At 35.3% G+C, this 27,798-nt stretch overlaps 1 protein-coding gene across 18 annotated transcripts in view; it reads left to right on the top strand.

The window, feature by feature from the left end:
• Positions 1 to 27,798, top strand: part of LRRC4C (leucine rich repeat containing 4C) — a 1,345,454-nt gene that overhangs the window by 1,050,174 nt on the left and 267,482 nt on the right. The window lies entirely within an intron of this gene.

The following is a 27,798-nucleotide window of genomic DNA, read 5'->3' as shown; positions in this document are numbered from 1 at the left end:
CAAATGTTTTCTTCCATTTTATAGGTTGTCTCTTCACTCTGCTGAGTGTTTCCTTGGCTGTGGAAAGCTTTTAGTTTGCTGTAATTTAATTTGTCTATTTTGGCTTTTGTTGCCTCTGCTCTTGGGGGATATATCAATTGCCCAGAAAAATTTCATGGAATTTTTTTTCCTATGTTTTCTTCTGATAGTTTTACAGTTTCAGGTATTACATTTAAGTTCTTAATTCATTCTGAGTTGATTTTTTAAATGATGTGAACTGAAGATCTAGCTTCATTTTTCTGCATGTGGATATCCAATATTCTCAAAACTATTTATTTAAGAAAATGTCTTCCCTTATTATGTATTCTTGGCACCTTTGTCAAAAATCAATTGACCATAAATGTGTGGATTTCTGGGCTCTCTATTCTGTTTCATTAATCTGTGTGTCTGTTTTTATGCCAGAGCTGTTTCGATTGCTGTAGCTTTACAGTATATTTTAAAGTCAGGTAGTGGGATGCTTTCAGCTTCACTTTATTTGCTTAAGATTGCTTTGGCTATTCAGAGTCTTTTGTGGTCCCATATGAATATTAGATTGTTTTTTCTATTTCTGTGAAAAATGTCATTGGAATTTTTATGGGGATTGCATCAAATCTGGTATATTGCTTTGGGAGTGTAGAAATTTTAACATATTCTTTCAATCCATGAACACAAAATATCCAATTTTTTATGTCTTCTTCAATTTTAGTAGTGTTTTATAGTTTTCATGGACATTTATAATTAAATATTATCATGTGTCACAAAATATTACTTTTTAATGTGTTTTCAACAACTTTAAAATGCAAAAGCCATTTTGGGGCATATAAAAACAGGCTATTCATGAACAGTAGTTTCCAAACCCATGTTCTAGACCTTATTCTGCATTTATTAACTTTAGTCCTGAGTAAAATGACTTAACCTCTATCCTTTTCTAATAATTATGATATTTCCAGTTTCACTAGAGAGGTCCCCCACCTCTTGGAGTTTCAAGTGAGGTAGCATATAAATAACTTTACAACTTGGTTAAAAAAAAGATAAAGTTGGTCGAGGATAAAAATAAACTGCTTCTAAATGTGTTAGGTGTTTAAACATAGGCTTTTCCAAAAAACGGTTTTTATACAGAGAAATTAAATGCTACGAGTGCAATTTAATTAAATGTATAATACCTTATTTTAAATCCCAAACACACACTTGTGTTTTGTTATATGTTAATTAAATTATATTTGAAACATTGTGAGGGGAAATTCAACAAAGGATTTCAGAGTATAGTTTCGGACTTCTAGAATCGAAATAGTTTATTAATTGAAAACTGAACATCCATCAAAGAGCTTCAGTAGGAATCTCATATCCGATTGATAACATTTCTTTCTATGTTGGTGGTATAATACTGTAGGGTTTTAATACAAAGAAATGAGATCTTGAGAAATAGATTGATATAATTCTTCTCTTTAGCTTTCATTGTACTGATAATGAATTATCTGCAATCTATCTGAACACATACTTGGTGATTGGAAATAAGTTGATAATTAATATTTTAAATTGTGATTTTAATAAATCCTCCCCCAAAATTTTCATTCTCTTTGCCAATTCTTTTCGTGCTCTTCAGCTGAGTTATAAGTATAGAATATGTGATGCAATTACATGGAATTTACATTTCTTTAGTTAATAAATTGGTCTTAATCACTAATGGGTTCTTTATACTGATTGTATGTTGAATTGGTTTAAATTGCCTAACCATATTTCAAGGTTAAATACAAAAGTATGTCAAGCTATTAATTTTGTGTTTCTGTTTTTGGTTTGAATGATGTAGGTAGTTGGAGCTAGAACAGGAGATTAAATTAATTTCTGCCATTGCCTTAGCCCAGCCTTTCTTTGCCTATAATATATCTATGACATTTGTCCTCATTCCAGGAGAAGATGAGGAAATCTCATCAGGATGAATGACCAGCCCTCATTAAACTGATGACTTTCAGGGAGATTTCCTTTGATCCTCATGCATTGAAACATCACCTCCCTGAAGAATTACTTTAGCAATGAGAAATTTGTAAGTGAACGAACACCAACCTAAATCAATCAAATCAACCTGGCTATTTCAAGGGCAAAAGGGAGAAAAATAGAGAGTGTCTTCCAGCTTCTGACAGAAAAATCAACATGTCTGAGCTGTAGTTTGGCTCATGTGTGAGGAGCAAATATTTCCAGTAGACTCTTTGCTTTGTCAAATCCACATGGCCTGAACATTTATGACTTTGTTTTGGAGGCTAAGAGAAATGAGGATAGTCTTTGCATTTTAGAGCATACAATCCAACCGATCCTATGAAAATGTCTTTTGAATCTAGATCATAAGATTCCCTCAGTCTCTGCAGAAAGTAAAATTTCATTTGCAAAACAACCCTAATCCTTCAAGCTTCTATGAAAACCTAGGTAAAAGACAGGACAAAAAAAATGCCTTTGCAAACAAGCACCAAGGGAATATGTGTAGCCCACATCCATCATCCACAATGTATCTCTTATTACACATAAATTTGTCTTGGAGAAGGGGGAGCAGCTCATAGTGATTTTCTTCATCTTACTGGGGATAGAATTTCAAAATTGGCCAATTACAGTATTTCATATTTCCTTGCTACTAGCCTTAGCATACAATAGTTGTCTTAAATAGTAGGCAGAAATATATCGTATTTGGTTAATGTTTATATTCCTGGTTGTATATAAATCAAAGTTGCAAGTGAGATTTTATTTTCAATACATATTTTAGAAAAAAAATTGTTGTATTGTGTTTTGCAATTATAAAACTAACATATGCATAATCTAGAGACTTTGGAAAATACTGAAATCAACCAAGTATAAAAATCACATATAGTACCACTACCCAGAAACAACTATTTGTTTTTAAAATGTATTTTCTTCTAGTCTTTTTTCTATGTTGTTGCATTAATTTATTCAATTAATATGTATACTGCCCAACACATACCAGGCATCACACTCTTATTTGGAAATATAATGGTGAATGACATTGATACTTTTCAGTCACAGAATTTATCATTTAGCTAAAGAGACAACCAATTAAACTAATGCAAAATAACATGCTTTGTGCTTTGACAGAATGAGTCAGACTATAATAGTCACACATGGGAGGGAAGAAAACAAGCTCAAACCTGGAGGACAGCACAGAAGTCTTTATAGAAGAAATATTAATTAAACTTAGGCCTCTAAGACTGAGTAGCATTTAGTCAGGTGAAGAAGGAGGAAGAAAATAGAAAAGCATTGAAATACAGGAAATATTCACTTTAAAGGTCTGGTGGATGTTCTAAGAAGTAAATAGCAGTTTACTATAGCTTTAGAAAATATAGAGGCTATTTGAATAAAGTTGGACTAGCTCAGTTACAGCGCCATCCCGCAGTGATCTGTGGATGTATGTTAATTCAGCTGTTGGACAAGATACTTTTATAAAGAGATCCGATATACAGTGTCACAAACAAGATGGAAGTTTAGTATTTACCTATGAAACCATACAGAGAAAGGTAAGTGGCCTACTGTGGATAGAGAGCTCTTGCCTACCATATCATCTAGAAACCAGGTTCCTTCTCTCTTGTGGTTCCTCTATTTTCTAGAGTATTGCTCACTTGGTCACACAGTCCAAATTAGCCCAGCTGCACCAATTCTTGCTTCCAACCTGTGGGAAAAGTGAGGAAGTGGACAACACACAATTTCTTTTTGAGGAACTTACAAAAAGTTTCTCAAAACTTCTTTTGTAAGTTCCTCAAAAAGAAATTGTGTGTTGTCCACTTCCTTACTTTTGAGGAGTTGTATTTTGTTGACTGTATCAACAATGTACATTCCTTTTTTTTTTTTTTTTTTGGATAGAGTGTTGCTCTTGTCACCCAGGCTGCAGTGCTCTGCCTCCTGGGTTCAAGTGATTCTCCTGCCTCAGCCTCCCGAGTAGCTGGGATCACAGGTGCCCACTACCATGACCAGCTAATTTTTATATTTTTTAGTAGAGACGGGGTTTCACTATGTTTGTCAAACTGGTCTCGAACTCCTTACCTCAGGTGATCCACCCACCTTGGCTTCCCAAAGCGCTGGGATTACAGGCGTGAGCCACCATGCCCAGCCAGATTCCATTTTTGATAACCTGATCACATGACCATTTTGGGGAATATCTCTAGCTGGGTGGCCGAATGCCTTCAGCCTTAAGGAGGATATTCTCCCCTTTGTAACAATATGAGTGAACCAAAAGGACATGGTGCTAAGTGACATAACCCAGACACAGGAAGAAAAATATTGCATGAGCTCATTTGTATGTAGAATCTTTAAAAAAAAAAAAAGTTCAAATATATGTAGAGAGAATACAACAGTAGTTACCAGGGTTGGGGTTGGGGCAGGAAGTGTAGGTCAAAGGAAATAAAAGGAACAAATAAGTAGGATGAACAAGTCGAAAGATCTAATGAGGACTCTAGTTAATAATAGTGTGTTGTATTTAGAATTTTTGCTAAATGGGTGGCTTATAGCTACTCTTGCCTTGAGGGTGGTGGGGAAATAGGAAACTATTTAAGATGATGGATATGTTAATTTATATCATTATAGTAACATTTTATTATATATATATCATATATTGTATACCTTAAATATACATGATAACATTTGTTTTATTAAAGGCAAATGGGAGAGTATTTGCAACATCATGATATGGAGTCTGAACTATATTTAAGGATAATGGGAGGCTGCTCTACATTTTTAACATGGGAATATTATTGTCAGATATAAATCATAGAACATACCCTTGGCTATGGAGTGAAGGATGAATTGGAGGCCAGCAGCAATGAAGACAGGGCTACCAGATGGGAGGCTCTTGCAAAAAAGAAAAAGTGGGCATAACATAATGGCATCATGGTCTAGAATACAGGCAGAGGAGTCACAAGAGGAGCGCTTCACTTGTGAGGTAGAAGGAATTATCCATGTGGGAGAATTGCAGGACGAGAAGCATAGTTTAATATGGAAGGTGAGGATAAACTGAAGATATCTGGCTTGGCAACTGGGTGGGTGGTGCCATTCACTGATTATATGCATATATTATGCACTATTTTAGAGATCGCCACAAAATCTAGTGGCTTAAAATAACAAACCTTTATTTAGCTCTTTATTGTGTGGGTCAATTGGACGGGGCTCAGCTGAGTTGCCTCCTGCTGGTCTCAGCCAGAATCTTGCATCTTAGTCCATCTGTGGGTCAGCTAGGATTCTGGGAGTGACTGGCTGTAAACATGGTATGACAAGGGCACCTTGGCCAAAGTTCTTCCATCAGCCAGCAGGTTAGCTTGGACTTAATAACATGATGCCAGCAGATTCAAGAGCAGAAAGAGTAAAACTGCCACTACGAACAAGCACTTTTAAAGTTTCTGTGTATGTCATGCTTACTTTGATCTCATTAAGCAAACATGAGACAAGGCACATGGCCATGCCTAGACAGTGCAGGAGGGAGCCATGAAAACCTTATGGGTCATTATTGAAATAATCTATTATCTTGATGTAGGAAACTGAATTCAGTGGAGTGAAAAAATTGCACTGGACTTGAATTTTGGACAGTGGAAGTGTGTCACATCTTTCTAGGAGTCAAATCTGTTTAGTGTTGACTATCACTTCACCTCCTTGAACTTCATTTTCTGCTTGTAGAGAATGAGCCTGGTCAACTCCAATGTTCTTTTTCTCTCTGAGATTTAGGATGCTAATTGATTAGTATTTTGTTTCTGGTGGTATAAACAAAAAACCATTTTGAAGCTCAGACTGTCAGATATGGTTTCCTTCAACAAGGAACAGAAAAAAAATTGAAGTAGCAAAAGTCTATTTGGTTGAGTCTTTCTGTTCTAATAATCTGTGATTCCACAATTTGTCACTGATTGTCCAATTTTCATAGACCACCTTGTCCTTATGTTAATGTTTGTTTATAGAAATTAGTGTGTCAGCATTAGTCACCACATAAATGATCTCATTCGGTCTTGCTTTCAATTTTCAGACAAACTATATAAATGACAGCTTTGAAATGTGTTCTTTGCATTTTGCACAACTTGGAGAAACATATGAAAGAAGATTATTTTCTAGGATATAATTTGTGGACTATTTAGTAAATTTTACTATAAAGCTTTGACTAACTAACTTGGTTTATCTAAAATTGGTGTTTTAATCCTGCATAATTATGATATCAGTTGCTGTGGGGCCACAGGCTATCATAACCACTCATCTTGTGGTGCAGAGTAGAGGTCATGGAGCAATAATAGAATCATATGATATGGCTTAAGAGCTATATGGGACAGTGTAAATTATTTTGTTTAAATCATCCATATTATAGCAAAGAAAATAACACCCAGAATATGTAGGCATATTGGTCATGTCATAGAGTGGGAAGGCCATACAAATTATAACTCATACCCAAGTTCAATTTCATCAAAAATAAAAGCCTAGACTAGAACCATGTGGCTTCTAACTGAGGAATAGATTAATTATCTCTAAAAGGCAAGAAGTTTGCATGAACAACATTATAAGTACACTGGAGGTTATGTGGTATAGTGGAACTGGTCTTATGAAAGATCTCCCACAACCAGCTATTAGGACAAATAATCTCTTTGAAATGCCTGTTTCTTTATAGGTAAAAGGACATATTTTTTGCTTCTAAGGATTTCATGAGGATGAAAAAACATGTGAAGATCATGCAGTATTAAATTCTGGGTATATATAAATTTCTCAAAAAGGGTTACTTCTTTCATTTCACCCTTCAATGTACATTAGCTCTCTGACTTATTGGAATGGTCTTGAATTGATTATTGTTTAGGGGAGAATATATAGAAATGAACAAACTGTTGGTATCTATTTCGATGAAGAAAGGTTTATGCTTCTAATTTGGCATTTGCCCAAGTGAATTCATATAACATCTTTAACTACTATATGTATCAGTTGGGAAAATGAATAGCTGGAGAATTGAACTGGGTCAGGGATATGAAATCTCATTCCATTTTGTCATGAATAAACTCTGTAGTCATGAGTCTTAGTTTCAACTGCCAAAAAGAGAATAAAATATATCTGCCCAGCCAACTTTACAGGGATTTTATAAGGGTTGAATAAATCATTTTGAAAACAACAAATACCAAATGCACTACAAAAACACGAACTGATTAAAATATCTGGAATAAATACTTTTCAAGCAACCAGGGAATTACTGATACCAACTTTTGTTTACAATGGCAAATGGAGACAAACATATAGTGAAAATACAAACACACAATGAAATCCAGTTTGACACTGAGGTCCTGAAAAATAAGACTGCTTTCTTTTAGACATGTCTTTGAACCCTTTTCCTTTTCAGTGTTCTCAAATGGTTATCTGAAATTGTAGAAAATGAGTGTAAGTCCTGTCAACATTGAAACTCTCGCACCTATTGTTTAATTGACTGCATTTCTTTCTTCTCCAACCTCCCTAACATTGTTACATATTTTTTTCAGGCTCCTTTCTTTTTGTCTGAAGACCACAGAGGTATAGCTATTTATTTCAGAGAAATCTAATATTTTACATATATATAAACTACTGCAGATACTAAACACAACATGAAAAGTACACATACACATGCACACACCATAGAAAAGCAAAATGGTTTTGACTTTGGTTCCTAATGAAGTATCAGATTGTGAATTTATACACAGCATCCTCATATACTAAAGGATTATTTCACACCCTTTTCACTTTATTATTTTTCCCCTTCCTGCCAGAAAATGTGCACATGCAGTGGGCTGTAGAGGGCAACACACACTCATGTGGAATATTCCCCAGTCAGAAGAAATGAACTGTCTGTCTTGCTTTAGATTTGGTGAGCTACCAATTTGTGATAGTTTCCTTTGGATTTCATTACTGGGCAACCAGAATGAATTGACAGAGAAAGCAATCGACATATGATGCACCCACTGGAACTTCTAATACAGAATGTTGGCTGCTTCTGTCAACAAGGCCAATTACCAAAGGTACTCAAAGGGTAAATGAAAGCCAAAATAAGTCACATGTTTGCATGAACCACATCCTGTAAACCTATTAGTGAATTCAGAGTAAACGCAGGATGACAGACTGCTTTGTCTATATAACATTTCAGGTGAATGCCCTGTCCGTACTGTGTTCTCGAAAGGCAGATTCAGATGTTTGTGGTAAGATAAGAGCTTACTGTTTGCAAGAGAGGGAAAGAGAGAGAGAGAGAGAGAGGGAGATTGACTGACTGATTGTATACTGATGCCAAGCCATAAATTACAAATCAGGAAATTTTTTTTTTAATAATTAAGCCTATTCCTGCTCACCATGTGTGCTGCTTTCTGTGCTAGTGCATGAAGTTTAAAAAGACAGTACAGACTCAGACTTCCAGGAGCTTATTAATTCATGCCTTGCAAACAGCAATCAACCATCCTTTTAATAAATATTTATCGAGCATTTACTCTGTGCAGACATTCTATGCTAAGTAATGGTGATATAAAATTAAACAAGATAGTCATTACACTTATCCTCATGGAATTTATAGATTGGTAGGGGAGAAAGAAAATTAAGAAATCTGGGCCAATATAGTGTGGGATAGAGAAAGTATAGGATGATAGTGATGCTCCTAATCCAGATTTTGAAATCACTATAGATTTGAGGAGGGAATGACATTCCAACCAAGACTTAAACTATAAGTAGGAGTGAGCCAGAGAAACTGAAAAAGCAATGATTATTCCTTGTAGTTTAAGCAACAGAAGTAAAAGCATGATGACAAGAAAACATGGAGTAATTTAACAAGATATGGACATTCAGAATGTCTGGAGTTTCATCAGTGCTGGTAAGGGGAAAGAATGGCAAGAAATGGAGATGGAGGGCTAGCTAGAGGATACATCCCAAATGTGAAATTAACTTTTTTTCCAGGTAGTACTGAAGAGCTATTAAAGAATTTTGACCTGTGGCATGGCAGGGTCAGATAAGCCATATTAAAATATAATGATTACTATAAATAGAGAGATATAGCTATAGCTATAGACACAGACATATATACACACACACTTTAAATATATTGTAATTTTAAAATGATGAAAGAGAACACACAGGTGGAAGCAAACAACTCTTTGGAGATCGTCATGAAATAATTTTTAGGAAATAGAAGTTTAAGTTTTAATTTGGATCTTGAAGGGAGAGCTCTCTCTCCAGTTTGCACACTGACTAATTTTGCAGCCTATGCTGCAACCGCATCCGAGTGATAGAGAAACCTCTGTGTGTGCCATGGATAGTGAGTATGGGTGAAAGGTGCTGAGTAGTCTACTATGTCTGAGGGAATCCCAAGGATTTTAAATACATTTCTCCTCTCAACCTATTGAGGAAGTCAAGGTATTGTTCTATTCTCTGTGAAGATGGAGACATGCATCTGTGGACAACTCCCACAATTATAAATGATTCCTTGAAATAAATTTGAAGCAGTTTTCTTTGGCTTTGCTCTACTGGTCTTTATTTTGTCCTTTGTAGTTATTTTTTAAAAAATCTAAAATGTCTTTGCTCTGTCAGTTAACTGTGTATTTGAAGTGATTAAATATGTCTTCGGAGCGTTTTCTTTTACTCTTATAGACTAAACTGCCCCGTTTCCCCAGGTATTTTTCGCATGACATGGAAGGTTGCAATGGTTTCATTTCACTCATATTACTTTTGAAAAATTGGCTGAGAAGCCATCAGCACATGATGTTACCATTGTAACTTTTGTTGTTGTTGTTGTCGTGGTGGTGGTGGTGGTTTTTTATTATTATTATACTTTAAGTTTTAGGGTACAGGTGCACAATGTGCAGGTTAGTTACATATGTATACATGTGCCATGCTGGTGTGCTGCACCCATTAACTCGTCATTTAGCATTAGGTATATCTCCTAATGCTATCCCTCCCCCCTCCTCCCACCCCACAACAGTCCCCGGAGTGTGATGTTCCCCTTCCTGTGTCCATGTGTTCTCATTGTTCAATTCCCACCTATGAGTGAGAACATGCGGTGTTTGGTTTTTTGTCCTTGTGATAGTTTACTGAGAATGATGATTTCCAGTTTCATCCATGTCCCTACAAAGGACATGAACTCATCATTTTTAATGGCTGCATAGTATTCCATGGTGTATATGTGCCACATTTTCTTAATCCAGTCTATCATTGTTGGACATTTGGGTTGGTTCCCAGTCTTTGCTATTGTGAATAGTGCCACAATAAACATACGTGTGCATGTGTCTTTATAGCAGCATGATTTATAGTCCTTTGGGTATATACCCAGTAATGGGATGGCTGGGTCAGATGGTATTTCTATGGACACTATTGGTTCTTTCTAACTCTTCTACCATCCTTGCTATTGTTCTTTGAACACACTCTAATCATTCTAAGTGTATGATTCTAATTCAGAAATTTCACTCCTTATGATCTGTTAAGGATATAATTTCAAAAAGAACAAAACCTTTGTTCACCAGTATGTTAATTAGAGGGTTATCTAAAAGAGTAAAAGTTCAGAAGCAGCTTTAACGCACCAAGGGAATTGGTATTACAAATTGAAATTAGGTACGTCAATGAAATAATCACAACCATTGATAATAATGATGACAGTGTTGTTGCTTATTCGTTAAGATGGCTTATTAGTAGGCCATTTAAAAAATTCCCTTTCTTTTTGTTCTGCTGTCTGTGCATTCATTAACTTTTAATAGTGTGATGTCTAGAACCCAGGACCCAGATGCTTCTCAACTGTCTTCATCTGGGTCCTAATGTGCAATTTTAAGCTTGATTTAACTACCTGTAGCTGTTTTTTGGTTTGACCCTGTTGCATTTTCTTTCTCCATAGCATGTAATATATCATTATGGAAAACAAAACAATCAAAACTAAGAAAATAGAAAATATCAGAGTTACATCCATATTTTCCTATTTTTACAGACAGAATCACTGGTTTATCCATTGGTTCAACAAAGGTCTGTTGAACATTTACATTAAAACAACAACAAACTCATATTGGGATCTTAGTATGTAACCACAACAGGCATTTGGATCACAGTGGAAACTCAGGCAGGTATAGTCTCTTGGCTCATGAAGCTAATATTCTAATGAAATAGATGATTTATTAATAAATAACATTTTTCAGCTTATGATATGTACTATGAATATAAGGAAATAGTAAATTTATATGTTGGCTTATACTTCTGAATAATTTTCTATGAATAGTATTTATATTTTTTCATTTATCCAAAAATTGTACCATACTCTTCATATTGGTAAGCCATATTTCATCTCTACTTAACAAGCTATCATAGTCATCTTTTCAAGTAAGAAATAAGCTTCTCCAACATTATAATCATTTCATAATCTATAATTTCATAAAACTATATTACTCAAAAATTGCCACCTTTTTGTAAGTTCAAATTATCTTTTCCTATTATAAGCTACTTTTTATAACCATCCTTACAATTAAATCTATATACATATAATAATTATTGCATCATTATAGTATCCAATGGAAAAATTAGGGTGATCAGTTGTCTCTTTATACAAATTACAAATTGACTTCTAGAAAGATGAAACTGTTTTTCCAACAGAACTATATAAAAGTGCTTATTTTTCTACAACCTTTCCCACACTGGTATTTAAATTTTATTTTTAATTTTAATTCTGAAAAGTTCTGTCTGACTTGTCTGACATTGCCTTCTGCTATGCCTTCCGCCATACTGGTTCCATGCTCATTTTCAGCCTACTGCTAGCAGGTGTCATTTGAACATTTGTCCAGCTAGACAATATTGAACTTCATTCTATGTAGAAACAGCAGTTTCTCCCAACTCTCTGTCCTTAGGAATTTTCTGTATAAAACATGCTTTTTACCCACCAACTACTTCCTGACCCTCCAATTTGTCAACAGTCACCCTTTGACACAAAAGGGGCAAAGAATATTTAATTTTAATTTTTCTTTAGGAATATTGGAGAGATGACAATGTTGGTACAGAGAGTTCCATTATTCAGAGCTGTAAATTTCAGTCTCTAAGTTTTTAAAACGTTTTTTTCTTTTTACAGTAGAGCTCTTTCACTTTCTTTGCTTTTACTTAACTTCAAAATTGATGTCTAGGATGACTGCCAGCAATATTAAATCATGCCATATGTTTTGCTTAATTACACTATTTCCTGAATTTATTTTTTGAAGTTAAATTTTTCTCTACTTCGTCAAAACATTAGGAACACTCTTTGTCACACAGATTAGAAGACGAAATATTTTAAAATTATATCTATTTGAAATGTTTCCAGAGATTGGGTAGGGGATGATTTCACACCTGATCATTTAAATATACGTTACAAATCACAGGATATCAGAGTCTTATGGTACATGGGGTTAAGTTAATCTAAAATAAAAGCAAGGTTTAGATGTCTTTTGGGTTTGAAGTATATATTCAATTTACTGTATGTTAAAGCTCAAGTCATATTTTTTCTAATATGTTGGTTGGTTCTGTGCATGGTTAATGTATCAATTTAAGAAAAACATCTGCATCTTATTAATACTTGTATTATAGAGAACGTTAAGATGCATTATAACTCAAACAGAATGCCCTCCTGGGAATCTTATATTTCTTTTTTGTTTTTACATCTTCAACAAATCATAAATGGTTTTGAGGTCACTGGAACGTGTTTGCATACAGATTCTTAAAATGTATGTTTCAAAAGGCAGGTGAAAGACTTGCTAACAAAATTATGTTGGACCTTTTTTAAAAAATGTATGTTATTTCCTTTATTATTTAAAAGAAAAGGATAAGCACCTAGTAAATATCACCATGCTGTGATATGCAAAATAGATGTCCGATTTTACTAATAGGTTTCTCTATTAAATATTCTACATGTTCTCTAATATTTTGGCATCAATTTTACTTTTATCTTTGTAATTTTCTCCTAATTCCTCTCCATCACTCTCTCTTATCCACTCCAAACATTTTCAGTTTGAGTAATTACATGGACTCCTCTGAAGGTAGAGTAAGGGTAGTTTGCAGAACTATTAACAAATCTTTAACTTGAACATGAAATTAAAAGGGACATTATGCCCCAGAGGAGCGGTAGTATTACAGTTTCTTAGCAGTAAAGTAAATGATAAAAAGAATGGAGATGGAAATTATAAAACTGACTGTGCACTGTTGAACCAGTCAGATATTTTAAAACCAAGGTGTCTAGAGACATGTGTAGTAATCAATAAGAAAAAAAAATAATAAAAAACAGAAACAATTCTTATGCTGTAAGATGAACAGCTCCTACTTTCTTAATGTGATTTTCTTAATGTGAAGAATAGACTTTCTTAATGTGATTCAGGACCACCCTGTAGACAATGTGTGAACAAGAGCCGCTTCCATAAAAACATGGCATTGCATCCACATCCCTGGGCCCTATATAGGAGCAAGTGGATAATATATCTGAGTGTAGGTCTCAGGAATATGTATTTTTTAAAATTAAATTTTTTGTGACAGAGTCTCACTCTGTTGCCTGGCTGGAGTGCAGTGGTGTGATCTCAGCTCACTGCAACCTCCGACTCCCAGGTTCAAGCAATTCTCATGTCTCAGCTTCTTGAGTAAGTGAGATTACAGGTGCATGTGACCACACCCAGCTAATTTTTGTATTTTTAGTACAGATAAGGTTTCAACACATTGGCCAGGCTAGTATTGAACTCCTGGCCTCAAGTGATCTGACCGCCTCAGCCTCCCAAAGTGTAGGGATTACAGGCATGAGCCACTGCACCCGTCCAGAAATCTGTATTTTAATAAGCACTCTGGAGAATTTTTAAGCAATTGAATAGCACACACAAAAAAGTTGGATTCCCATTTTTAGATAAATATAGACTCAAAAAAGTTAAGTGATATCTTCAAGTCTGTATACCTATGCAACTTGTTAAAACTCCAGAACAGTTCTTTGATATCTAATCCATTGCTCTTTCTACAATGCTGCACTGAATGTATTATTCAGGTTTTCCTGGCTTTGATATTGCATTCCAGTTCTTCTAATTTTATGCCCTTTTATTAGAAAGGTGATGTACATGAGAGAAAGTACCTAGTTAGGGCATGCCACCCAGAAGGCACTGTGAAGACATCAGAAAAATAAATGAGTGGCTGAGCAGAGTTACGCTTCACAGGATCTCTCAAAGTAGGAGTCCAAGGGCTACTGTGAATTTTATAATTTCAAACAGGCAATGCCAAAAGTTTATCACCAAATACCTATGCACAGGAAGTCAGTCTTGGAGTACAAGGTAGTATTTGAATTAAATTTAAGGATTCCCTAACTATACACATTTTATACCTTAGAACATGTCACTAATAAAGAGCATGCATGAGGTTGCATTGTTTAAAGATATGTGTGAATTGACTCCATCTACATTATAGACTATATCCTACTCTGTATCAAAGTCTATATAATTATAGACTTGATCACAGTCTCTATCATTAGACTTTCAATGAATAGACAGGAAAAAATAATTCAGTTTCTGAAGGCCAATAGTTGGATAATTGGTAAAGTCTCAATATTACCATTAAGGCCGTCAAGGTTGATAGGAAATATATTACAAAGAGAAATAGATACAGTAGGAAATTACATTTCTGAAAATCGTAGTTTCATGTAATGTACCTACTCCTCTGATTTAGGTTAATAATAAAACCCATTTGAAAAGATGAAACATTGCCAGAATGTAATAAATCATTGCTTCTCTCTATCACTTCTACTCTCTCCTCTCTTTCTTTTGCCTCTTCTATTATTTACCTGTTCTGCATTGCCTGTTCACAAGTCAAGAGCGTGAACCATGAACCACAGAGCTTCTTTTGGGTCATTTGAGGTGGCATGTGGAACTAGATTTATGATGGATCAAGGGGATCACAGTCACTTTGTGGGTTTGTCCAGTTGTTTTTATTTTTTATCTGAATATATCAAAGTCTGAGCAGCAATCTGAGGTCAGCTATTGACAGACCATTCAGGAAAGCATGTATGATGGAGAAAAGCGAACAAGTCACTCTCAAAAGGATGATGTATCCCTTAATTCACCAGCTCTTTAGCTCCTGTCTGTAGGTAACTCATTTGTCCTAGCCCCTTGAAGATAATTCTTAGCTGAAAGTCAATGGCCTGCACTGTTATTTTTAGAAGGAAAAGTTATTCTGCCAGGAAGATTCACTGTGTGTATACAAACAAGAGCTGTGTTTTTTCGCTAGCATACTGAGCATGGAGTGCCTTAGTTTTTGAGCACTTTTATATTCCAAGGTCTTTATGTCCTCAAAACTTTCAAAACTGGAGCAATGGGGTCCTGAACCACCTTCTTGCTGTCACTCTATTTGCTTCCATACATACCCCCAACATTATCTAAACAAGACTATGTACCCATTCTTTCTTTCTTTCATTTTTATCCTTTCTGTCCCTTCATTTTGGCCTATTTTTATCCCCTTCTTACTCTTCATGGTCTTGCCTACTGTCAGACAATTTAAAATACAAATCTAAATTAAGTTAAAAAAAACTGATCCATTTTTTTTCTCTTAAGAGTCATATGTGCATCCAGTTCTTTCTGCTATGTGTCTGTATAGAAATAACAATTTATTTTAGCTTCTCATGACTTTTCTGGATAATCCCTAATCAAATCTCATAATGTCTCTTGTTCTGGAAACTTTGTTTTAGGGGACAAAAGGCATAGCCCTGATGTCATGTAATTCCAATTGTTTGTGACAGATACAATGTAGTATTCATTAAAGGACCATTGCATCCTGCTGTCGTATTAGTCAACAGTGCAATTGTTTTTTCACTTGGGTTATGATGTTACTCTTTGGGAGTTGTTTTTGTTGCTGGAGATTCAGAGTCAATGTTCACATATTCCGAAGTTAAGTACCGAGTTATCCTGTACCATTACTGTCTTCTTTTTCTCCAAAGAATTATTGCATAGGTTTTTCATTTTCTTCCTGACTTAGACCCTGTCTATTAAGTTGTTCATTCAAAAGAGAACTAGAGCTGAAAGATTTGTAGTGGAATCAAAACAAAGTACATTCTTAATGTGTCAATAGTCATTTCAGATTCCTCATAAATCTTCAGGGTCTCTTAAGAAAGTCTATTTTTATTACCTGGATATTTTAAAGCAAAATATTGTTGAATTAACTACCTAAATCTTATCTAAAATGATTTGTAATGAAAGCATTAGTTCAAGACAAGCATGTACGTAGGATATTATGTGGAAGGTGGCATAACATCATATTATTTATAAGTTTTAAGGTTTCATTTATCCCTGAAATATTCCAATCCCTATTGAACTGATTATGCACAGCAACTCTGAGGACTGCAGAGTCTTTACACTGGATTACACGTTGTCTTTACAATATTTTTCTCTTCTGAATTGTCTTAGCTCCCTAGTAAGATTGCATTCTCTCTGAGGGCTTTTTGCTCTGCTGTTTCAGCCCTTTATACATGCCTTTATTTTAAGCGAGTGCGTAATGGGCTATCGTGAGTCACTTATCAATGGTTCCTTTCTGTTACTGATGGCTGGATCCTCCAAGACAAGAACTGAGCCCTGGTTCTTTATCCCACCAAGAAATATTCAGCGGGGCATTTCGCGAGCACTCAGCAAATATTTATTGTTCTGGGGTTGTATTGAAAGCAAATAATCATTTATTTATTTATTTTTGTCTCCCATTAGAACATGATACATAGTAGGTATTGAATAAATAATTGTTTTCATCACTTTGGTTGTCTTCTTCTGAGTATATTTCTTCAGGACAATAAATACAGATGCTACATTTTTTTTCTAGTACTTAAAGCTAAAAATTAAAATACTGATATTATAACCAAGTGTTTGTGATGACAGCTATCAGATAGTAGGAATCACTTTCTTTAATATTATAAAATGAAAAGTTCCATGTCTTCCAAAACACCTGAATGGTTGACATCTTTAATTTTTTAATTAAATAACTTATTTATTTTAAAAAATTAATAGACATTATTTTTAGAGCAATTTTAAGTTTACAGAAAATTTCTGCAGAACATACAAAGAGTTCCTCATATGGCCCCTTCCATACCATATACACAGTTTCCTCTATTATAAACAACTTGCATTCATGTGATACATGTTTTATGTGACAATAATTGACAAACCAATATTGATACATTAATAGTAACTAATGTTTATAATGTACACTAGGGCTGACTCTGTGTTGTATATTATATACGTTTTGCTAAATGCATAATGTTATGTATCCATCATTAGAGTATCATACAGAATAGTTTCACTGCCCTAAATTCCCGTGTTCCCCTTTGTTCCAACTATTCATCCCTCCTGCTTACCTTTCCCCTCATCCCCACAAACCCCTAGCAACCACTGATCTTGCTACTGTGTCTGCCTTTCCCAGAATGTCATATATTTGGGAATCATAAAGTATGTAGCCTTTTTATACTGGCTTCCTCTACTTAGCAATATGCATTTAAGATTTATCCATGTATTTTCTTGGATTGATAGCTCATTTCTTTGTACTGATGAATAATATTTCATTGTATGAATGTACCACAATCTGTTTATCCACCCGCCTGGTGAAGGACAGCTTGATTGTTTCCAATTTTAGGCAATTATGTTTAAAGCTGCTAGGAACATTCGCAGACAGGTTTTTATGTGGACATAAAATTTCAGCTTATTTGGGTAAATATTTTTTTTTCATTTACTTACCATTCAAGTCCAGCCATTGCTAATATGCAGTGTGTGGTTTTGTCACTTTGAATACAATACTTATCAACATTTGACCGGTAAAAACAGGGAAATTGTGATGCTATAATGATCTATCAAGTGCAGATTTGGCTTGCAGCGGAAATACTGTGCAATGGCTGAATACGTAGACTCAAACAATAGGTGGACTGAGTTCAAATACTTCTCCTTTATTTTTTCACCCCATGGTCCTGGAGAAGTGGCTTACCTTTGGCTCAATCCCTTCATCTCATCTCAGAATGGAGACAATAGTGGTACATCACAGCGTTGTTATAAAGCTTAAATGAGATCACATTTATAAAGTGCTTAAAGCAGTGCTTAATTAGAAAATGAGCTGTTATTACAGAGATTATGATGTTGGTGTAGATCTTCCTACATACATCAGATTTGTGAATGGAAGAAAAGCTGAAAATTATCAATCTGGTGAGCTTTAAAAACAAAGTTTGTCATTTGTTCATGCATTCTCAACAACTACGTACTGAGTATAAATGTGAGCCAGAAATGTTGCTGATATTTGAGATATTAAAAGGAAAGACAGAATCCTTGTCACTAAGGAACAAATGTCTCAAGAAAAGAAATGACCTGTAATCCTAGCACTTTGGGAGACTGAGGTGGGCAGATCGAGGTCAGGAGTTCAAGACCAGCCTGGCCACCCTGGTGAAACCCCATCTATACTAAAAATACAAATATAAGCCAGGTGTGGTGATGCACACATGTAATCCCAGCTACTCCGGAGGCTGAGGCACCACAATTGCTTGAACCTGGGAGGCGGAGGTTGCAGTGAGCCTAGACTGCACCATTGCACTCCAGCCTGGGTGACAGAGCAACACTCTGTCTCAAAAACAAAAAACAAAACAAAACAAAAAAAGGAAAAGAAAAGAAAAGAGATTATTTCCATACAATATGAAGGAGGTCTGAGTTTTCACAAATGGGCAATAACAGTCTCCTGACACTTGGCAGGCAGGAATCTGTGTTACAGAACTACCATCATGAACTCAAAGAGTCAAATGAGTCAGGTCCCTGACCCTTCCCTAGAACCACCTTACTATGGAAACTTCTGCAGTTTCCTTATCCATTCCAAGCCTCAATTCCACTGTTAAGCTTATATATTAGATGTTTATTTTATCTCCTAAGAAAAATGTGAGGATTATTTGACCTAATTAATAGAAAAGGCTTAATATATCACCTAGCACACAGTAAATGCTTAATAAAAGTTAGCAATTATTGCTAATCCATGAATTTTCATCAGGTAGCTTAGATAGATTTTAGGTTGTGAGAAGCAACTGATTTTTTAGATTTCCTATTCACAGGGATCCTAGCCTGAGAGAGATAATTAGTTAAGTTTAAGATATTCTGAATAATTTGTGAGCTTGAATCAACAGATCAGAAGTCTATTTTGGATTCAGTTAATTCAGTTTAACACTCGAGATTAAGCTGAATTCCTTGTTTTCTTTAATGAGATATGTTTGATGCTTCTTTAACTGTCTCGTACAGCTAAACACCGACAGAAGTGTGATGTCTAAATTAATGCCAGCCATACTAATCAAAGGTTATTTGCTTTACTGTTTAAACAGAGATTATTCATGGCAGGAGCTGATGTGTTTTGATTTTTCAACATGTCAGCTATAAGATCAGAGTGGATATTTTAGCCTTGTGATAACTCCCTATAAATAGAGGCATAAATTATAAATGCTCATTGATGTAATTATAAATTGTCATTTGGGATCCTTTTAACCTAGCAAAATATAATGGCCCTGAGTTAGAATACTGCACTAGGGGTGACTTCTAACTCTAACACTCTATAAGCCTGGAATTCTTGGTACTAAGAAGACCCTACTTCTTTCTACTTATCCTATTGTAAGAAATCCTTTCTGATCATTTACATGTTTGGTGACTTATCTTCCTCCTAATTGTATGCCTGGTCCAGCTACTTATAACAACTTCATGCTTATGTACCAGGAGGTAGGCATGAGTAAAATAGTAGTAAAATACAGCAGTGTGTCTCATTTTTATAGCTTTTATCAGATAATCCTTCACTGTAGTCCTTGGAAGTCAATATTTAGGGGAGATTATTAGGGAAGGTACTGTAATAATTATTAACAACTCCTTGAGCCTAAAGTAAGATGTTACTCCACTTGGAATTAAAATCCTTCTCTCTCTTTTACAAGGTGAAAGCTTGGACAAATAAATTAACCTCCTAGTTTCTAGATATTTAAAATGAGAAAACAATAGTGAAAAAATAATGGTTTTTTGATTATTTTTTTTTTTGAGACATACATGAGATTATTTAGAAGCATTGGATACGTAACAAAAGAAACTTTTTTGCCCTGTAGTAATATCTTTACGAGTTCTTGACAACTAACCCACGCCGTGTACCTGAAGCAAGTTACAGCGATGTATGAATGGGGTTGGGTATGAAATTAACAATGCCCTGCTCTTTCTTAGTGGCACAGAATGCTTTTCCATTTTGCCCTAAGATATCTCTATCACTTTGTTTTTTAGTGGCTCCAGTAACTTCTCCCAAGTTTAATGTGCCTGCTGGGATCTCTGATTTATATCTCCTTTCAAAATTCCTCCTGCAGCTTCAAATTCTCCCCTGTATAGCTTTGGTTTACTAAATAATAAATGGCCCATTTTTCCTTTCTCCTTTCCTATGCATCCAGTACAGTACTCAAAGTATATTTCAAGGAAAAAATGACAACAATCTTCAGCTCTTCTCCTTCTTTATACCCTAAGAAATTGAAGGACATCACTAGAATGAACGCAAAACAAGTGAACACGTGACTAATATTACAAAATAAACACATTGAACTCTTGGTCTCCTAAAAATGGGGAGAAGGCTGATGTCTCCATTTTGCAGTACCTCGTCCTCTGAACTTCAGGGAATATCTGAATACAGACAGAATTGACCCAATGACAAAAACACAGAGATGAGACTTGATGGCATAAGTAACAGTCTCATTTGATTCAGTGTGCACACTAAACTTATTTGACCAATTTGTACAACTTTCTAGGATCAATTCAGGATTCCTTCCATCTAGCTCAGTTAGCAGATTACCATGAGTGTGTTAATAAAATGCAGGCATTGGAATTTGGTATCTGGATGTTCCTTGACTCATTCCTTACTCACACGATGATGCTGTGTCACTCAACCATAAAATTTGCCAGCAATGGCATCAGGATCCCAGTAAGTTCTTTTCTCCACAAGATGTTTAGCATCCCCTGTAATTCCAAATGAGAGTTTGTAAGGTTTGGGAAGGGCTATCAGGAAGAATGTCTTCAAAATTTTTCATCCCTCCAAGCGCAACCTGAATGTCTAACTTCTTGGCCCAGGTAATAGTTTTTGTGGCTGGCCCCATCACCAGATGACACTTTTATGGTGTACTTATGAGTATCCTGAGCTCAATAAAACAAGGCAATTGATATTGACATAATCTCTTCTTTGAAAGAGGTGTCACATTTTGACAGGTCTCAAGGAATTACCATTGAAGCAAGAGACAAGTAACCTGATAATTCATCTTATCCGGGCCTCATCTTTTTGCCCCTTTTTATAAAGGGAAAATGTCTAATTGGGAAAAACAGCCTCTCTTTCCAAACGAAGGTTAAATAAGTCAGTAACAGGTAGAAGCAGATAGTTTGTGGGCTACTTTTCTCAATACATATTTTACTACATATGAAAAATCAGATCAAGGGTTGAGGAGGTTTATTAGGGGATAAAAAATATTTTTACGAGCTTCTATATTTCATCCTTGAGTCAATCATACTGTAATGAGCACCAAGCACAGGAGGTAAAATAAGATGGAATGTTTGAGGCAAAAGAAAATCTCTGTGGAAATTAACCCAGCCTCAAAAGAGCCTTTAAAAAACAAAATGCTGCCAACAGCAAGTCAGTCCAACTTCAGGTTTGAAGGTCAGCATTCAAAGAGGACAACAAATGCAAATATTACCTTAACCATTTACAAAGTAACTGAGGTAAAAAGAGAGTTTATTCATTAACCTGGACTACTACTGTTGGAACCATAAAAGTCACTATCCTTTTCTGACATGTGCACTGTCTCTTTTGATACAAATATGATCAGATCCCTCAGGAAAGTGTCACCTTCATGTCAATAAATGATCCTAGGTTTGCTTCAGTGTCTACAGAAATCATCAGACTTGACTCTCTATTAAAGGGTAAAGAAGGAGTTAGAAATTGAAACAATATAAGGAAAAAAGTAAATGAACCCTTTATAAAAAATTATTTTTTCCCTTGAAGAGTTAGTCATGGGTACTGTGCGTAGAGTGAAGGAAACCTATGACTGCATTTATCCTCAGGTTACTGCTTCCTAATTCCTGCTACAAAAGTGCCCGAAGAAAGGGACAAATGTCCCCAAACATCTGTGGGTATCTGAATCAAATTATTTACTTCTTTTAATGAGTAACCTATCAAGAAATAAGGATAATGTTATTGGGAGTGGTAACCCATTCAAATCCCAGATCAGAAATCATTGTCTTTTTAAGTAATATTAATGGTTGTATTCTAAATGCATTATATACCAGTATATATAAACTGATATGAAAATAAATATGAGGAAAGTTAGAAGAGAAAATAAGAATAAAAAAGGAATAATTCTATATAATTTCTCCAACTCTCAATTCCATCCTACAATCGAATGCAGAATTTTATTTTGTAACAAAAATATCCAAATTACGACATCCAAGTCATCTCAAATACCATCAGATAATAAATTGCATCATTATTAACTGCAAATTAAATCATATCAGTCAGTAAACAGACACTGATATATATGATATAATAATATAGAGAAGTTCAATTGATTGCAATAGAACTTAGGGGTTTTCTAGAATGATAAACCCAAGGAAACAGCCCACATTAGAATTATGTATGTCGGCTTTCCAATTTAAAGAGGAGCCAGTAAGCTGTGCCTGGTAAGAGACACTTTGCTACTATTACTAAGTATTTGTTTACTACATTTATACAGAGTTTATACTCGACAGAGCCTAAAGTGTTATATTGAGACTTTGGCACATCTGATATAATGAAAATAAAAGCGAAGAAAGCTAGAAAAGAGAATAAGAATAAAGAAACAAAGAGGGATAGAGGCAGGAATGGGGAGAAAGAACAATAGCAAATAATTTCTAGTTCAAATATCCTCTTCAATGCGTAAAGTACCTTGCAGTTTACCAGAAGTACTAGATGGAAGAAAGACCTAATGTAATTGAACAAACCTACTTAATTGTTATATAGCTATCTCATTTAATCTTTACAATACTCATATAAGGTGGACATTCTCATCTCCTCATTACAGAAAAAGAGCAGATTCAGGGAAGATTATCTAATCAAGTCAGACAAGCCAAATGCCTGCTCAGTGAAAGCCCTGCAATTTGACCCCAGTTTGGTTTGATTCTTAAGGTCAAGAAGTTCTATTATATTCTCCTGACCCTCAATACAGCTAGAATCTTCAAGATTTTGTCAAATGTGAGATCTACATGCTGGGAACGTTTTAGGAACTGTTTGGACATGATTATTTATGGCTTTGTGACATAATTCACTCCTGCAGTTTTTCAATTCTTTATATATTTTTCAGTTATTCTGTGGTATGTGAGGCTTATTTTCTGACACTTTTACATTTTATAAAGTTTTTAATGTTTTTTAATTTATTATATTTCATTTTATTTTATTTTCAACTTTTATTTTCGTTTCATGGGTACATGTGCAGATTTGTTACATAGGTTAAATTGCATGTTGCTGAGATTTGGCATACAAATGATCCCATCACCCAAGTAGTGAACATAGGACTCGATAAGTAGCTTTTCTTTTTTATTTTTTTATTTTATTTTATTTTATTTATTTATTTATTTATTTATTTATTTGACAGAGTCTCACTCTGTTGCCAGGCTGGAGTACAATGGCACGATCTCGGCTCACTGAAACCTCCACCTTCCGTGTTCAAGTGATTCTCCTGCCTCAGCCTCCCGAGTAGCTGGGACTACAAGCACATGCCACCATGCCCAGCTAATTTTTGTATTTTTAATAGAGACTGGGTTTCACCATGTTGGCCAGGATGGTCTCGATCTCTTGGCCTCCTCATCTGCCCACCTCGGCCTCCCAAAGTGCTGGGATTACAGGTGTGAGCCACTACCGCACCCAGCCTCTAAGTAGCTTTTCAACTCTTACCTCCATCCCACCCTCCCCCTCTAGTAGTCTTCAATGTCTGTTGTTCTCCTCTTTATTTCCATGTGTACGCAATGTTTATCTCCCATTTATAAGTGAGAACATGTGGTATTTGTAATTTTTAAAAATGTTCCTGAATCCTAATCATTTGACATATGTTTAGGATCACATAGTTAGATAGATAGAACTCAAAAACTTGAATGAGAGTTCTCTGCTAAGCAGATGAAAAAAGTTTTCTCTATTTTAATCAGTATTTGCTTATTAATGCAGTTCCCCTTGAGATGACTTAATGTTTCCTCCCAGTAAGAAGAATGAATCATTCACTCAGATTTTCTTCTCAGAGTTAGAAGGAAAATTTCAGACATCACCATGAAACAGCAAGAACACACATCTGTTGCCCATGTGAACATGTATTAGAAACCTGTCTCTGTGGATGCCCGCCTCTGCCTCTGAAGATAACTTTGAGTGTGGTTAAAAAGTGTTTATACTGAAGTATTATTGAACAGATGGCATAATTCAATATACCTATGTATATTGTTATGCCAATTTTTGGAAATATACTTAATATACAAAACAATACAAAAATATGCAAAATAATGTAGTAAAAATAGTTTTAGAAAAAATTCTTATTAACTTTGGGAGATTTCCCACTAGTGCTTTATGTTTGCAGGATAATTTCCAGAATTTATTAAAAGGTTCCCAGTAGGAATCTAGAAGGTAATGAATTACCCAAAGAATCATATTGTTTATAGAAAAATATAACAAACCTGCCAGGAGTGGCTTTCTAATTTGATTAAAATAATATATTGTGATGAAAAAAGAAAAGAAAGGTGGAGAATACCAATTGAGATGGTCTAATTCTAGAGAAAGCAAAATGTAGGAGCTAAAAGAAAATAATCAGGCATTAGGAAGTCTGTTTCTTCAATAGATCAAATATATCTAATTTTAAGAGACTCCTGGTATTCTTGTCAGATGGTTCTCTGATAGCATAGTGAGAACGATTTGAATGTTGGACCCATCAACTAGAAGTTTGAATCCTGGTTCTGCTATATGTTAGGTACATGACTTGCAAAAACTATATAATCTGTCTAAACTCATTTATTCACCTATATAATAGAGTTAATAGTGCCTACCTCATAGCACATGATCAAATGAGATCAAATAGAATTTGGTACAATCTCTAGTGTTTACCAATGAATGCTAGTTATTATTACTTGTAATATGTTTACAAGAAAGAAGATTTCAATATAGTTTTTCTTTACTCCCTTTCTTACTCTAATTTTAATCTTAAAGTTTCCTGTTTCTTTAACCATCATCTTTACAGCCCCATCACCACTATAAAGCAAAGATACTCTTAGGGTATTCCCCTGTGACGATTCTAAAATCATACAATACAATGATTTCTTGAATATGGCACCAAAAAACATGCAACAAAAGCAAAAGTAGACAAGTGGGATTACATGTAACTAAAAAACTTCTCCACAGTATAGAAAATAATCAACAAAATTAAAAGGCAACCTAGATAATGGGAGAAAATGTTTGGAAACCGTAAATCTGATAAAGGATTAATATCCAAAATATATAATAGACACATACAACTCAACAGCAAAATAATAATAATAATAATAATAATAATAATAATTTGAATTAAAAATAAGCAAGGGAGCCTGGGCAACATGGAGAGACCCTATCTCAACAAAAAGTAAAAAAATTAGCCGGGCACGGTGTTGCATGCCTGTGTTCCCAGCTACTAGAGAGGCTGAGGTAGGAAGATCACCTCAGCCCAGGAATTTAAGGCTGCAGTGAGCCATGATAGTGTCACTGCACCCTGGGTGACAAAGTGAGATCTTGTATTAAAAAAATAAATAAATAAAATGGGCACAGGATCTGAATAACATTTCTAAAAAGAAGGTATACAAATGGCCAACACATATATGAGAGTTGCTCAACATCACCAATCACCAGAGAAATGCAAGTCAAAACCAAAATCAGTTATCACCTCTCACCTATTAGAGTGGCTATTAAAAAATAAATAAGATAACAAATGTTGGTAAGAATGTGAAGAAAATGGAACCCTTATACTCTGTTGGTAGGAATGTAAATTGGTGCAGCCACTATGGAAAACAGTATGGAGGTTCCACAAAAAATTAAAAATAGAATTGCCATAAGATCCAGCAATCCCACTTCTGGGTATATACCCAAAGGAATTCAAATCACGATATCAAACAGATATCTGAACTTCCACGTTAATTGCAGCATCATCACAATAGTCAAGATATGGAAACAACCTAAGTGTCCATCCATGAATGATAAAGAAAATATGATATATAAATATACAACCAAACATTATTCAGCCTTTAAAAAAGGAAATCCTGCCATTTGCAACATGAATGGACCCAAAGAACATCATGCTAGGTGAAATAAGCCAGACACATGACAAACTCTGCAAAATACCACTTACATTAAAAAATTGAAAGTAGTTAAACTCATAGAAGCAGAGAAAAGAACGGTACCTTCTCGGGTCTATGGAGAGAGAGAAATGGGAGGTATTAGTCAAAGAGTACAATGTTGGCCGGGAGCGGTGGCTCACGCCTGTAATCCCAGTACTTTGGGAGGCCGAGGCAGGCGGATCACGAGGTCAGGAGATCGACACCATCCTGGCTAACACGGTGAAACCCCTTCTCTACTAAAAATACAAAAAATTAGCTGGGCATGGTGGCGGGTGCCTGTAGTCCCAGCTACTTGGGAGGCTGAGGCAGGAGAATGGCGTGAACCCTGGGGGCGGAGCTTGCAGTGAGCGGAGATCGAGCCACTGAAATCCAGCCTGGGCGACAGAGCGAGACTCTGTCTCAAAAAAAAAAAAAAAAAAAAAAAAAAATGAGTACAAGTTTTAGTTGTGCAAAATGAAGTCCCAGAGATCTACTGCACAGCCTACTACCTATAGCAAGCAATGCTATACTTAATACTTGCGTACTTTAAAATTTGCTTAGAGAGTAGATCTTAGGTTAAGTGTTCTTATCATAAAATAATAATAAATAAAGAGGGTTGGAGGAAACTTTTGGAGGTGATGATGAATAAGTTTATGATGTAGATCATATTGATGTTTTCAAGGGTAGTATACACTTATCTCCAAACGTATTTAGTTGTACATTTTAAATATACACAGCTTTTTCTATGTCAGTTATACCTCAATAAAGTGACTTTTTTAAAAAAAGGAAAAGGCCATCAATAATTACAATTTTAAATAAAATATAAAAATTAAATTAAAAAAGTAAAAACACGGCTGGGCGCGATGGCTCACGCCTGTAATCCCAGCCCTTTGGGAGGCCCAGGCGGGTGTATCAGGAGATCAGGAGATCGAGACCAACCTAGTTAACACGGTGAAACCCTGTCTCTACTAGAAATACAAAAAAAAAAAAAAAAAAAAAAAAAAAAAAAATTAGCCGGGCATAGTGGTGGGCGCCTGTAGTCCCAGCTACTTGGGAAGCTGAGGCAGGAGAATGGCGTGAACCCGGGAGGCGGAGCTTGCAGTGAGCCGAGATTGCACCACTGCACTCCAGCCTGGGCGACAGAGCGGGACTCTCTCAAAAAAAAAAAAAAAAAAAAAACGCTGACTGATAAACATTTTGTCCATATGATTGTTTATTTGAAGTCCTCTTTTATTACTCCCTAAAATCATAGCTTAAGAGTCAGGAATTGATTATTTACACAATGAATAATTCATAAGAATGTATATTTGCAAGCCAGTGATACCTTCAGCCAGCGTCCCAATGACCAAAAGCCAAATTTCTGAAGAGCAACTAGATTCAGTATTATGCTTGGCCAATGATATAGTGGTAGCACCAAGAGAGAGCCATCAGCAGGATAGAGGTGGCTTTGTTA

Source organism: Homo sapiens, chromosome 11, assembly GCF_000001405.40.
Source record: "Homo sapiens chromosome 11, GRCh38.p14 Primary Assembly".
Classification (NCBI taxonomy): Eukaryota; Metazoa; Chordata; class Mammalia; order Primates; family Hominidae; genus Homo; species Homo sapiens.
This window is presented reverse-complemented; position numbering and strand designations above follow the sequence as displayed.